Source organism: Homo sapiens, chromosome 14 (assembly GCF_000001405.40).
Source record: "Homo sapiens chromosome 14, GRCh38.p14 Primary Assembly".
NCBI classification, from domain to species: Eukaryota; Metazoa; Chordata; class Mammalia; order Primates; family Hominidae; genus Homo; species Homo sapiens.
The window spans coordinates 21,405,702-21,418,097 of record NC_000014.9 but is presented as its reverse complement, the minus strand read 5'-3'; the positions used below and the strand labels follow the sequence as shown (position 1 = coordinate 21,418,097).

General features: G+C 38.6%; 1 protein-coding gene across 2 annotated transcripts in view; it reads left to right on the top strand.

Moving 5' to 3' along the window:
• Positions 1 to 12,396, top strand: part of CHD8 (chromodomain helicase DNA binding protein 8) — a 70,925-nt gene that overhangs the window by 38,026 nt on the left and 20,503 nt on the right. For both annotated transcript variants that reach the window (NM_001170629.2, NM_020920.4), the window contains exons 6-15: positions 2,191 to 2,373; positions 2,456 to 2,524; positions 3,105 to 3,160; positions 3,680 to 3,797; positions 5,102 to 5,185; positions 8,110 to 8,247; positions 9,273 to 9,394; positions 9,543 to 9,786; positions 11,066 to 11,242; positions 12,234 to 12,377. In NM_001170629.2, coding sequence (NP_001164100.1) covers positions 2,191 to 2,373; positions 2,456 to 2,524; positions 3,105 to 3,160; positions 3,680 to 3,797; positions 5,102 to 5,185; positions 8,110 to 8,247; positions 9,273 to 9,394; positions 9,543 to 9,786; positions 11,066 to 11,242; positions 12,234 to 12,377 — 1,335 coding nt within the window. The remainder of the gene's footprint in view (positions 1 to 2,190; positions 2,374 to 2,455; positions 2,525 to 3,104; positions 3,161 to 3,679; positions 3,798 to 5,101; positions 5,186 to 8,109; positions 8,248 to 9,272; positions 9,395 to 9,542; positions 9,787 to 11,065; positions 11,243 to 12,233; positions 12,378 to 12,396) is intronic.

Genomic DNA, 12,396 nt, shown 5'->3' with positions numbered 1-12,396 from the left:
AATGAGTAGTTTATTTTTTTCTTCAGTAATATTTGACTTTATGAATATACAAACGTGACTTTGTAGGAATCTGTTAAGTTTTCTAAAGTGATTATGTTATTTTATACTTCACCAGTAGAGTTCTGGTTGATACACATCTTCAACATTTGGTATTATAAATCTACCCCATTCTTTTTAATGTGTATATGTGTGTGTGTGTGTATATATATATATATTATATATATATATATATTTTTTTTTTTTTTTGAGAGAGTCTCACTGTGTCTCCCAGGCTGGAGTGCAGTGGCGCGATCTCGGCTCACTGCAAGCTCCACCTCCCAGGTTCACGCCATTCTCCTGCCTCAGCCTCCCGAGTAGCGGGGACTACAGGCGCCCGCCACCACACCTGGCTAATTTTTTGTATTTTTAGTAGAGACAGGGTTTCACCGTGTTAGCCAGGATGGTCTCAATCTCCTGACCTCATGATGCGCCTGCCTCGGCCTCCCAAAGTGCTGGGATTACAGGCGTGAGCCACCGTGCCCGGCTATTTTTATATTTTGTATAAAATAGAGACAGGGTCTCACTGTGTTGCCCAGGCTGGTCTTGAACACCTGGGCTTGAGTGATCCTGCCACCTCAGTCTCCCAAAGTGCTACGATTACAGGTGTGAGCCACTGCACCCAGCCTGCACTCTTTTTTAGTAGTTCTGTAGTATTCAGTTTTAAGGCTATAGCATAATTTATTGAACCAATCCCCTGTTGATGGGCCTTTAGGTTTTTTCTGGTCTCCTACTCCCACAAGTAATGCTCCAGAGATTTGTGCACATATGCAAATTTATAGGATAGTATCTTTGAAGTGGAATTGATAGGTTCAAAGGGTGTTGCCAAATTTTTCTTCATGGAAGTCGTGCCTATATGTACTCTCACCAAAAATGTATGAATTCTTACTTAAAAATATTTTGATCAAACTTGCTGATTTTTGCCAGTCTGTTGGGTGAAACAAAAATATAACATTTTTAAATATAAAATTATATTTGTATTGGTATAAAATTAATTTTATACTAATGAAGTTTGCTCACTGCAACCTCCACCCCCCGGGTTCAAGCCATTCTCCTGCCTCAGCCTCCTGAGTAGCTGGGACTAAAGGCATCCGCCACCAGGCCCGGCTAATTTTTGTATTTTTAGCAGAGCTTCACCATGTTGACCAGGCTGGTCTCAAACTCTTGACCTCAGGTGATCCACCTGCCTCGGTCTCCCAAAGTGCTAGGATTACAGGTGTGAGCCACCACTCCCAGCCAATTTAGTTTTGTAGATAATTAATCTTTGTGTTTTCATAAATGGGATCTTTTATTATATTTTCTGGCTGATTATATGTAGAAATGCTATTGATTTTTTAAAAATTAGTTTTATACCATTCAAGTTTACTAGTTTCAGTAGTTCTTTCATTTGATCCTTTGAGGTTTTCCAGAGAGATAATCATAATTGAAAAATAAGGCCTGGCTAATTTTTGTATTTTTAGCAGAGACGGGGTTTCACCATGTTGGCCAGGCTGGTCTCAAACTCCCGACCTCAGGTGATCCGCCTGCCTCGGCCTCCCACAGTGCTGGTATTACAGGCATAAGCCACTGTACCAAGCCTCCTTCCCAGTTTTTTATCATGAGCTGGAAGTGTTGCTTAAATTACTTAATTAGAAAATGTTTAATTCAGCCACTTGAAAGAATAAGGTAAATAAAAAATATATATGGAAAACATTTCCAGGAAATATCATTAAATAAAAAAGTAAGTGGCAGAATAGTACATACAGTAGATTCTGTTTATTAAAACAAAAAAAACTTCAGAACTAAGACAAAAAAGCAAAAAATGGAAACAAAATCTTCTTGCATTTTTGCACTAACGGGTTGCTTCTAGTGTGAATTATATTGCACCCTGCAGCCTGAGAATCCAGTTTTGATTTCCCAGAGCTTCTTGCCACTAGTGGACAGGTTTTTCTCAGTGGATTCTTGGCCTTTCATAAAGCAGTTAAGCAAATTGATATATGGTCAGTACATAGCATAATCACATTGTTTGACAGATAATCTCCTTATCATCTTTTGGTCTGATTTTTCATGAAAATTTTGGAGTAGAATCTAAGTATATGACCATGAGCAAATAATTTTAAAAGTCTTCTCTGTGAGAGACCTAACTAGTCACTCTAACTACTTTTTGCTCTACAGAAGAGACGCTCAAACCGCCAAGTTAAGCGAAAAAAATATACAGAGGACCTGGATATAAAGATCACAGATGATGAAGAAGAAGAAGAGGTGGATGTAACTGGTCCAATAAAACCTGAGCCTATCCTCCCTGAACCAGTGCAAGAACCAGATGGCGAGACTTTGCCTTCCATGCAGTTCTTTGTGGTAAGCTGTAAACTCAAATGATTTCAGAGGATTGCCTTGCTGGTCACAATCATCTGTTGACTGACTGCATCTTTTGCTGCAGGAGAATCCCAGTGAAGAAGATGCAGCCATTGTAGACAAAGTGCTTTCTATGCGGATTGTGAAGAAGGAGGTGAGGGCTTTTTATTATTATTATTATTTTTATTTATTTATTTATTTATTTATTTATTTATTTATTTTTGAAATAGAGTCTAACTGTGTTACCCAGGCTAAAGTGCAGTGGCTATTCATAGATATGATCGTAGCACACTATGAACTTCTGGGCTTGAGCTATTCTTCTGCCTCAGCCTCCTGAGTATCTGGGACTACCATTGTGCACCACTGCGCCTGGCTTTTCTCTATCTTAATATTAACCCGTAATGCTATGTTCACAGGCTTTATTTAATGAGCACCTTTGGATGTCAGATATATTGCTAAGGTGTAGTTGTGAGAGATGATGGAGGAAAGTTAGCTAGAAAACAGGAACTGCTTTACTGGTGCTTCTTTTACTTACCTGTTTAGAGTGGATAAAGGCTTACTTTTTCCAGCTATCAGGCCTCTATTATTGAAGTACCAGACTAGTTCCTTAATCTCTGAGTTATTAATATATTCAGAGATTATTGGTATGAAGTTCTGCAATGTGTGGTTAAAATTAAAAAGTTCATTCTTTTACAAATAAGGGACTAGTGACTAATTTATTTCTTTTTTCTTAGCTCCCTTCTGGACAATATACTGAAGCAGAAGAATTCTTTGTCAAGTACAAGAACTAGTACGTGATCTGTGCAAAAAGCTTGTCACCCCAAATTCCACAGGGTGGTAAAAAGTTCTCCTGGGTATCCTGGGTGGGAATGTGTCCCTTTTTTATAGTCTTGTAGCCCAGGTTGCTGTTTTTAATGGGGAAAAATGGCTATTCAGAGAGAAATTCAGGAATTGACATGACTCTTATTATTTCCTTGTAGGTAAGTGGGGTGAGGGTGGTTCCTGATAAAATGTCATGTGATTCTCTTTACCTTAGTTTAGCACTAAGATCTTGCTACTCAAAATATGGCCCATGGATCAGCAGAATTAGCATTACTTGGGTGCTTTTTAAAAATGTGGGCTTTCAAGCACATCCCATACCAGGTGGTTTGTATACAAATTAGAGTTTCAGAAGCACTGACCTAAGAGACTGTCTCCCAATTTAAGCCTGTATTTGTTATGTCTGCTTCTGACTAATCCCAAAATTTCAGACAGTAGCCTGCCACCTTCTTTTACTTGCACCATGACTGGATTTTTCCATCCCCCTTAGCTCCTATCTGCATTGTGAATGGGCTACTATCTCCCAACTAGAGAAGGATAAGAGGATACATCAAAAATTAAAGCGCTTCAAAACCAAAATGGCTCAGATGAGACACTTCTTCCATGAGGTAATTAGGAATAGGTATTGCCTGTCATTTCTTTCACAGAAGCACAAATTACTGGGGTTGTCAGCCTTGGCTGATTCTTCAAAATACTTGTAATTGGTTTCTATATATGGGTGTAAACTTTCAATTTTGGTCATTGACTTCCCTTACTTAACTGCCCTTGCATTGTTTTGTTAGGTTTAAATATGGTTCATTTATTAGTTATAGGATATTTTGAAACTGATTTCCTCAATGCACATGAAGTATTTTCAAAACTGATGATACACTGACTGCTGGTCCACTTGAGGCATTCTTTGTCTTTCTTTAGCTATTGATGGTTTCTGTAGACCTATTATTAAGAGAGAACATTTGTTTTCTCAAATTTCTAATCCAGTGTGATTAGAAATAGGGATAAAGGAGCTTTAATTTCCAATATCCAGGTTTACCCCTAAACACTGGAGCAAGATGAGTGAAGAAATATGCCTGTTATATTTGCGGCGTTCATCCTTGATAAGAGTAGTTTTGGTTGTATGTTGCAAGTAGAAGAAAAAGTGGAATGGATGGACAAGTGAAAGAGATGAAGGAATGGAAATAGCATGTGTTTAAACCCTTGAAAAAGTTTAGGTATGGGGCCGGGCGCAGTGGCTCATGCTTGTAATCCCAGCGCTTCAGGAGGCCAAGGCAGGCAGATCACTTGAAGTTAGGAGTTTGAGACTAGCATGGCCAACACGGTGAAACCCCGTCTCTACTAAAAATACAAAAATTAGCCGGTCATAGTGGCGGGCACCTGTAATCCCAGCTACTCGGGAGGCTGAAGCAGGAGAATCACTTGAACGTAGGAGGTGGAGGTTGCAGTGAGCCAAGATCGCTCTACTGCACTCCAGCCTGGATGACAGAGCAAGGCTCTACCTCAAAAAAAAAAAAAAAAAGGTTTAGGTATAAAGCAGAGTAGAAAAATAGTTGCGGGAGTTGTAGAATAAAAAGAGGTCTTATTTTAAAATGTGAAATGTGGAACATATACGTGTATTTATGGCAATGACTCGGTAGAGGGATTCCTAAGAATACAAGAAGCAATGAACAGCAGAGCATATATGGAGAGAAGGACCTCTGTTAGAAAGAGACACTCACTGGTAGCAGGTGAGAAGTCAGGTATAGACCCTGGTAAATTCATAGGATTTGCTGTTATGAAAAAGGAGAACACCCATCGGATAGCTTCTAATTTCTTTAAAAATTTTGAAGTAGGATTCTCTGCTAAAGGTGAGGTAGAGGAGTGGGTTTACTGGACAGTGATCTTTTGGTCTTATTGTTTGGTTTCCTAACTCATCTAGGATGAAGAGCCCTTTAATCCAGACTACGTAGAGGTGGATAGGATATTGGATGAGTCTCACAGTATTGACAAGGACAATGGGGAGGTGAGTTGTTGAGGCATGGAGTAACGTGAACATCCTCTTAGATTTCTGCTGGTGGGTTTGCCAATCCTTTATTTTTCGGGTATGGATGCAGAATCCCTTGGACTGAAAAGGTATTTCTAAATTTTTCTGTGGAATCCTTTGAAAGATAATGGGAGGTAAGAGTGTAGGGAGAGATGCTAAAAGGAAAGATTTCTGTAAAGTCAGACATGTAGAGGCTAAGTACTGAAAAGTCATTCATCTTGGTCTCATTTTTCCTCATATTTTAAATGGGAGACTCTTGACATACAGTTGGAGGTGGGGTGTTGGGAAGGGGAAAGGGATACTTCACAAATTCCTAAATTTGTGAATATAAAAATACTTCTACAGGCTCGCTCCTAGCTTTCTACAAATCATGTTCTTGAGAATGGGCTACTTCCTGAACTCACCATTAGTTAAATGTCTCTTCATTTGTCATTAAAACAGATCTGCTGGCCAGGCGCGGTGGCCCACACCTGTAATCCCAGCACTTTGGGAGGCTGAGGTGGGCAGATCACGAGGTTGGGAGTTTGAGACCAGCTTGGCCAACATAGTGAAACCCCGTCTCTACTAAAAATACAAAAATTAGCCAGGTGTGGTGGCACGTGCCTATAGTCCCAGCTACTCGGGAGGCTGAGGCAGGAGAATCGCTTGAACCCGGGAGGCAAAAGTTGTGGAGAGCCAAGATCATGCCATTGCACTCCATTCCTGGGCAACAGAGTGAGACTCCGTCTAAAAAAAACAAACAAACAAAAAAGCAGATCTACATTTGAATCTGTATTTTAATTAGTTTATTTTTCTCTTTTTTCTTTTTCTTTTTTTTTGGTTTTTTTTTGAGACCATCTTCACTCTGTCACCCAGGTTGGGGTGCAATGGTGTGATCTTGGCTCATTGCAACCTCCGCCTCCCAGATTCAAGTAATTCTCATGCCTCAGCCTCCTGAATAGCTGGGACTGCAAGCGTGTGCCATCATGCCCGGCTAGTTTTTAAATTTCTAGTACAGACAGGGTTTCACCATGTTAGCCAGGCTTAGTCTCGAACTCCTGACCTCAAGTGATCTCCCTGCCTCGGCCTCCCAAAGTGCTGGGATTACGGGCGTGAGCCGCCTACGCCTGGCACCTTTTTCATTTTCAAATGGTCATCTAGGTCTTAGCCACCAGTGAATTCAGCTTTCTTTTAAATTTACTTCTAATTTTTTTTTAGGCTATAAACCATCATTTTCTTAGAATTTGTCACTTTATATTTTTCCTTCCAGTAGCACTTTTTGGTTTAGCTTAGCAGGATCATAAAGAAAATTTCTATCACATCTGACACTTTATACAGTGACCAGTAGAGAACAGCAGAGCCTTTTTAAGATGTTAATGTTCAGTGGGTGAGCTGGGCTTTTTCATGACTTTTTCAAGTGACTTGATCCTCCCATACATCATTCTAACAGGACCTCTGAGTTAAATTCTTTCCTCTATAAAATTCCGAAGTTTATTCTACTTTATAAGTCTTCAGGTTCACTCAGAGCCTCAGAATCTTAGATATCCAGGACACGGTAGAATTCATTGTCTTTAAATCCTAACAAGCATGCTTCACATAACGTATTCTGCTTTTGAAGTTGGGGTGGTAGTATTGTGTGTTTGTTTGTGTGAGTTGAATGGAGAATGGGCCGGGTTTTAGGGCAGGTTGTTAGCTACTCTTAAATTCTTATCATTTTTCAGGATCTCAGCCTTTCCAGCCTTGACAGTCTTATGCTTTTAATCATACCTACCCTTCTAAAAGCAATTGGCCTTTAGTTAGGCCCCTTTGGAATGTCTTGCAAATGACGTGACAGATGATAATGTTTTCATACTCTAATACTATAATTTATGCTCCCAGTATTGGCTAATACTATTCTATATACCCATTTTCCCCACCTCTGCAAAATAAGTTTGTCATCCATTTTATATTACCTAATGGTGGAAATAAATAGATATTATGCTGGAAATATGTGACCTGGACAAATGGCTTTATATAGAGAGTGACCTGAGTTACTATGATAAAGAAAAAGGTAAAAGAGCAAGCAGCTGGATCAATTCCAGAGATTCGAGATCTGTGACTACCTTGAGGCACTTTCACATATTTTGTTGGCTATTTTAAGTTTTCTATGAATTGATAATTAGAGATTCTTGTTGATTACACTAGGCCCAATCTAATCCTTGCTTTATACTTCATAAGCCAAAAATGGAGATGCAGTAAGTGCAGTGATCATCTTGAATAGTGAAAATAGGAGCCATTTACCATTGGTCACTGCCCCTTCACTTTCAGTGGAATACCTACATAAACTAGTACTTACTGTAGTTGAACTTTTTAGCATTTTCTCTTCCTTCTTTACTCTTAGTACCTCTTTTTGGTGATAACCTCTTGTTAGCTCCTAGCTTCCTGGGGCTCACAAGGACATTTCTTTATCACCATGTAAGTGCTCTTGAGGTGCATCTGCAATGAGCTCTAGGGGCCCAGAAGCCAGTATAAGCTGATAGTCCTCATCCTAAAGGTAGCCTAGCTGCCACTGTGTCAAATTTGGCTCCAGGAGAATAGTATGGCACAGAAACATATCTTTTAATTTCAACATGGTATAGGAAAAGATTAGTCTTTTTTTTTTCATCTGTTTAGTTGACGAGCATGTTTTAGTGCTTAGTGTGATAGAAACTAGTGGGTAGAAATTTTCCTTTTAGAACAGATTCTGATAAATTGCTTTGAAGAATGATCAAAGCCATATAGTGCATCAGAAGGTGAACTTTTGGTCGATGTGTTTGGCCTGACTTTTTCAACGGCTTCTAGGTACTGATACTTTGTGATCTGATTTTACAATCAAATTTTTATTCTTTAACTGGAGCAGAGAACACAGAATCAGTTTCTTAAGGCTTTGGTTTCTTCTCTCCTAGCCCGTTATTTACTACCTGGTGAAATGGTGCTCTCTGCCCTATGAGGATAGCACATGGGAGCTAAAAGAAGATGTTGATGAGGGCAAGATTCGAGAATTTAAACGGATTCAGTCAAGGCACCCAGAACTCAAAAGGGTGGTAAGTACATTTGCATTAAAGTATAAAGGCCTACATAAGAAATGATTAAATTTTTTCCCCTATGAAATTTTTTGTTGTTTTAGCTTTTTATTATGGAAATTTCAAACATATAAAAATCGAAGAAATGGTATAATGTACCCATCACCCACGTAACAATTATCAGTACATATCCAGTCTTGTGTCATATATTTTCCTACCCATTAATTCCTGTTTCCCAGGTTATTTTAAATCAAATCCCAGATTCATTTATTTCATCTGTAAATATTACAGTGTTTTTGCCTAAAAGAAATAATACCATTATTACACCTAAAAAATTTAATCATTCTTTAATATCATCAAGTCATTGGTACCAATCATTGCATACATTTCCCTGATTGTCTTCTAATTTTTGTTAAATCATTTAAATTTGGTTCTCAGTAAGGTCCATATATTGCTATCAGTTAATATGTCTCAAGTTTCTTTTAAGCTCCCCCTTAATCTCCTCCTCTCCCTCCGTTATAATTTTCTCATGAAGAAATCAGGTGATTTGTTTTGTAGGATTTTCCATAGGCTGAAGTTTGCTGATTACCCTTGGTACTTTTTTACATGTTCTCTGTCCCTTATGTTTCACATGAATGCTTAGGTTTAGAGCTACACTGTCCAATAAAACATTTTAGAGCTGTGCTGTCTAATACAGTAGCCACTAGCCGTGTTTTTTTGTTTGTTTTTTTATTTTTAATGTTGTAGAAAGCTCTATTAGACATCACTGTTCTACAGGCTTGATCAGATGAGAGAGGGAAGCCAGTAACTGCTTCATAGATGGTGGTGTGTCCTTCCATCAGGTTGTGTTTTGTGATGTTGTCAGCCATTTGTGATCATTATGGACCCATAAAGTAACGTTATGAACTCATAAATTTAAATATATTTGACATGTTTTAATCCAAACAATGTTGTTTTGAATTGATTTTAACTATTAGAACTTACCTAGTAAGTCTTACCTTTTGATAATGTCTCCACTCCATTTATTCAAACGTCTTGTTTTTTAGAATCGTCCGCAGGCAAGTGCCTGGAAGAAATTGGAGCTATCACATGAATATAAAAACAGAAACCAGCTACGGGAATATCAGTTGGAAGGGGTTAATTGGCTGCTCTTTAATTGGTATAACAGGTAAAGGAAAGAATGGGCCATAAGATGTAAGCTTAGTTCTGGGATTATTTTTATTTGTTTTCTATTGAAACAATTTCTTCCTACATACTCTATTTTTTTTAAAGATAGTATCTTTTAACATTTTTTTTTTCCCATGGTGAATCTGCAGGCAGAACTGCATCCTGGCTGATGAGATGGGATTGGGCAAAACTATTCAGTCCATTGCCTTCTTGCAGGAAGTATATAATGTGGGCATCCATGGTCCCTTCTTGGTCATTGCCCCACTGTCCACAATTACTAACTGGGAGCGAGAATTTAATACATGGACAGAAATGAACACTATTGTGTACCATGGCAGTCTGGCCAGCAGGCAGATGATTCAACAGTATGAAATGTACTGCAAAGATTCACGGGTGAGTTGCATGTCTTGGGAATACTATGAGTTAGAGAAAGTCGGCCAAGGTACCTGGTATTTTAAGGGCTATATATGAATAGAAGACTTTTATTGAAAGTCTTCAATATGCCTATGCAAAAATGCCTATGGTTTAAGGCATTTTTGTATAGCAGTGTGCAGGGCATTTTTTTGACTTTGCTATTTTTTTTACCTAGTAGACATTTGATCTGGTAGAAGTTCTGATTTTATTTATGAACATACACATTTTAAGTAGAATTTTGTCAGCATCAATGAATTTTAATCACAGTATTTTACAAAAATTAAATTCCTTTAGCCACTTAATCCATGCGGTGGTGAGCTTATTTCTTTTCCTCTTTTTAGTCTACGGAAATTTTCATCAAGATCAGTTTCTTTTTCTAAATGGTCGGGCGTGGTGGCTCATGCCTGTAATCCTAGCACTTTGGGAGGCCGAGGTGGGCTTATTACCTGAGGCCGGGAGTTCTAGACCAGCCTGGCCAACATGGTGAAACCCCATCTCTACTAAAGATATAAAAATTAGCCAGGTGTGGTGGTGGGCACCTGTAATCCCAGCTATTCAGGAGGCTGAGGCAGGAGAATCGCTTGAAACCAGGAGGCGAAGGCTGCAGTGAGCCGAGATCGTCACACTGCACTCCATCCTGGGTGACAGAGTGAGACTGTGTCTCAAAAAAAGAAAAAAAAAGGATCAGTTCCTTTTTCCATGTAAATTTGAAAACAAAATTGGAATTATCCATCGTGTATTAACATGAATTTTATTGTTTCTCTATTAGTTTTCTTTTTTTTATTTCTACCAAATCACATCTTTTCATCATATTTTGCAGCTTTTAATTTTGTTAAAATGATTTCATTCTTTTGTCAATTTTTAGACATCAGCCAATATTATGTTCTGTATTAGCTATTTTCATTTTTATTATCTTGTATGGTTCAGCATTGTCCAGCAGTTGTGGATTTCATTGTTAATCAACAAAAGATCTGGGGCAGAGATACATGAGCTAGGCATACAGCAGAGTAAAAAATGTCTAGCCTCTCATTCAGTGAGTCTGTCATTTTCCCAAGAAGCTGAATATGTTGAGGAAGCAATGTATCTTACATTCAGTGATATGGCACTATTTTTCAGGAAGATAAACAGCGGTGGAGGTGGGTGGTGGTGCAGTTTGTATTGCCTATTAAACATGCCTTAATATAGGCAAGTAATTCAGAAAAGCTCCTCATTTAGGTACATTTTTGGTTTTTTCTGACTTTACTGCCTTCATGCTTAGGGACGCCTCATCCCAGGCGCATACAAGTTTGACGCTCTGATCACCACTTTTGAGATGATTTTGTCAGATTGTCCTGAGCTTCGTGAAATTGAATGGCGTTGTGTTATCATTGATGAAGCCCATCGACTGAAAAACCGTAATTGCAAGCTGCTTGATAGTCTCAAGCACATGGACCTGGTGAGTTCCACACTGACTTGTGAGCAGAAACACCTGGAATAAACCGTAATTCCTTGCGGTATTAAAATAACCCTAGTTTAGCAGAGAAGAAAAGTCTGAATCGTGGTATTGAACAGTGGGGATGACCTATGGGAATGGTAACCTGAAAGTCGTGTAAAAGTCATACATTTTAGAATTGGGAAGTTTAGTGATAACCAGAAGAGGAGGTGGGAAACTATATTGGTTACCTATTATTACTGCATAACAAAATACTCCAAAACTTAATGTCCTACAACAACTATATTTTTCATGATCTTCTAGCTCAACCACTTAGGCTGAGTTCAGCTAGTTGGTTCTTATGATGATCTTGCCTGGAGTCAGTATTGCTGCAGCTGGCAGTTGATGCTGGTTTTTATCTGGAGCACCTGGGTTCCACATGGCCTCTCATCCTCCATAGGCCAGATTGGGCTGCTTTGTGTGGTAGTCTCAGGGCAGTATTCCAAGAGGGCAAAAGTAGAAACAGTAACCTTTGAGATAGGCTCTGAAACTCACACAGTGTCACTTTTGCTACATTCTTGTTCTTGCAAGTAATAAGGCAAGCCTAGGGGTGAACCTTGTTAGGAGGAACAGCAGCAAATTAATGACCATATTTAATCCAGCTCAGTTACATTCCATAGAGGACAGCAGATTTTAGGATATCTGTGGGGAGTTGAATATGGAGAGACATGTGTAATTGGAATAAACATAATCAGAATTACTGTTTTTTAATTTGCTTATAATATTTATGTTATTTCAATACATTAATGTCAGAGGGATTTCTTGAATGCTTTGTGTTTATCGAAAGAGGGGACAAATGGAAGAAAAATTAATGGACCAGATCACTGGTCCATTCTCATCATTTTATAGATAAAGAAATTAAAGGTTATATATGTTAAAGATTATATACTTGATAGGAAACCCCAGAAGTCCTTCATGTTTTTAAATTTTATTCTTTTGTTTCCTCCATTTCTAGGAACACAAGGTGCTACTCACAGGAACACCATTGCAAAATACTGTAGAAGAACTGTTTAGCTTGCTTCATTTCTTGGAACCGTCACAATTTCCCTCAGAATCAGAGTTTCTCAAGGACTTTGGGGATCTCAAGACAGAGGAACAGGTAGGAAATCTATCTGATG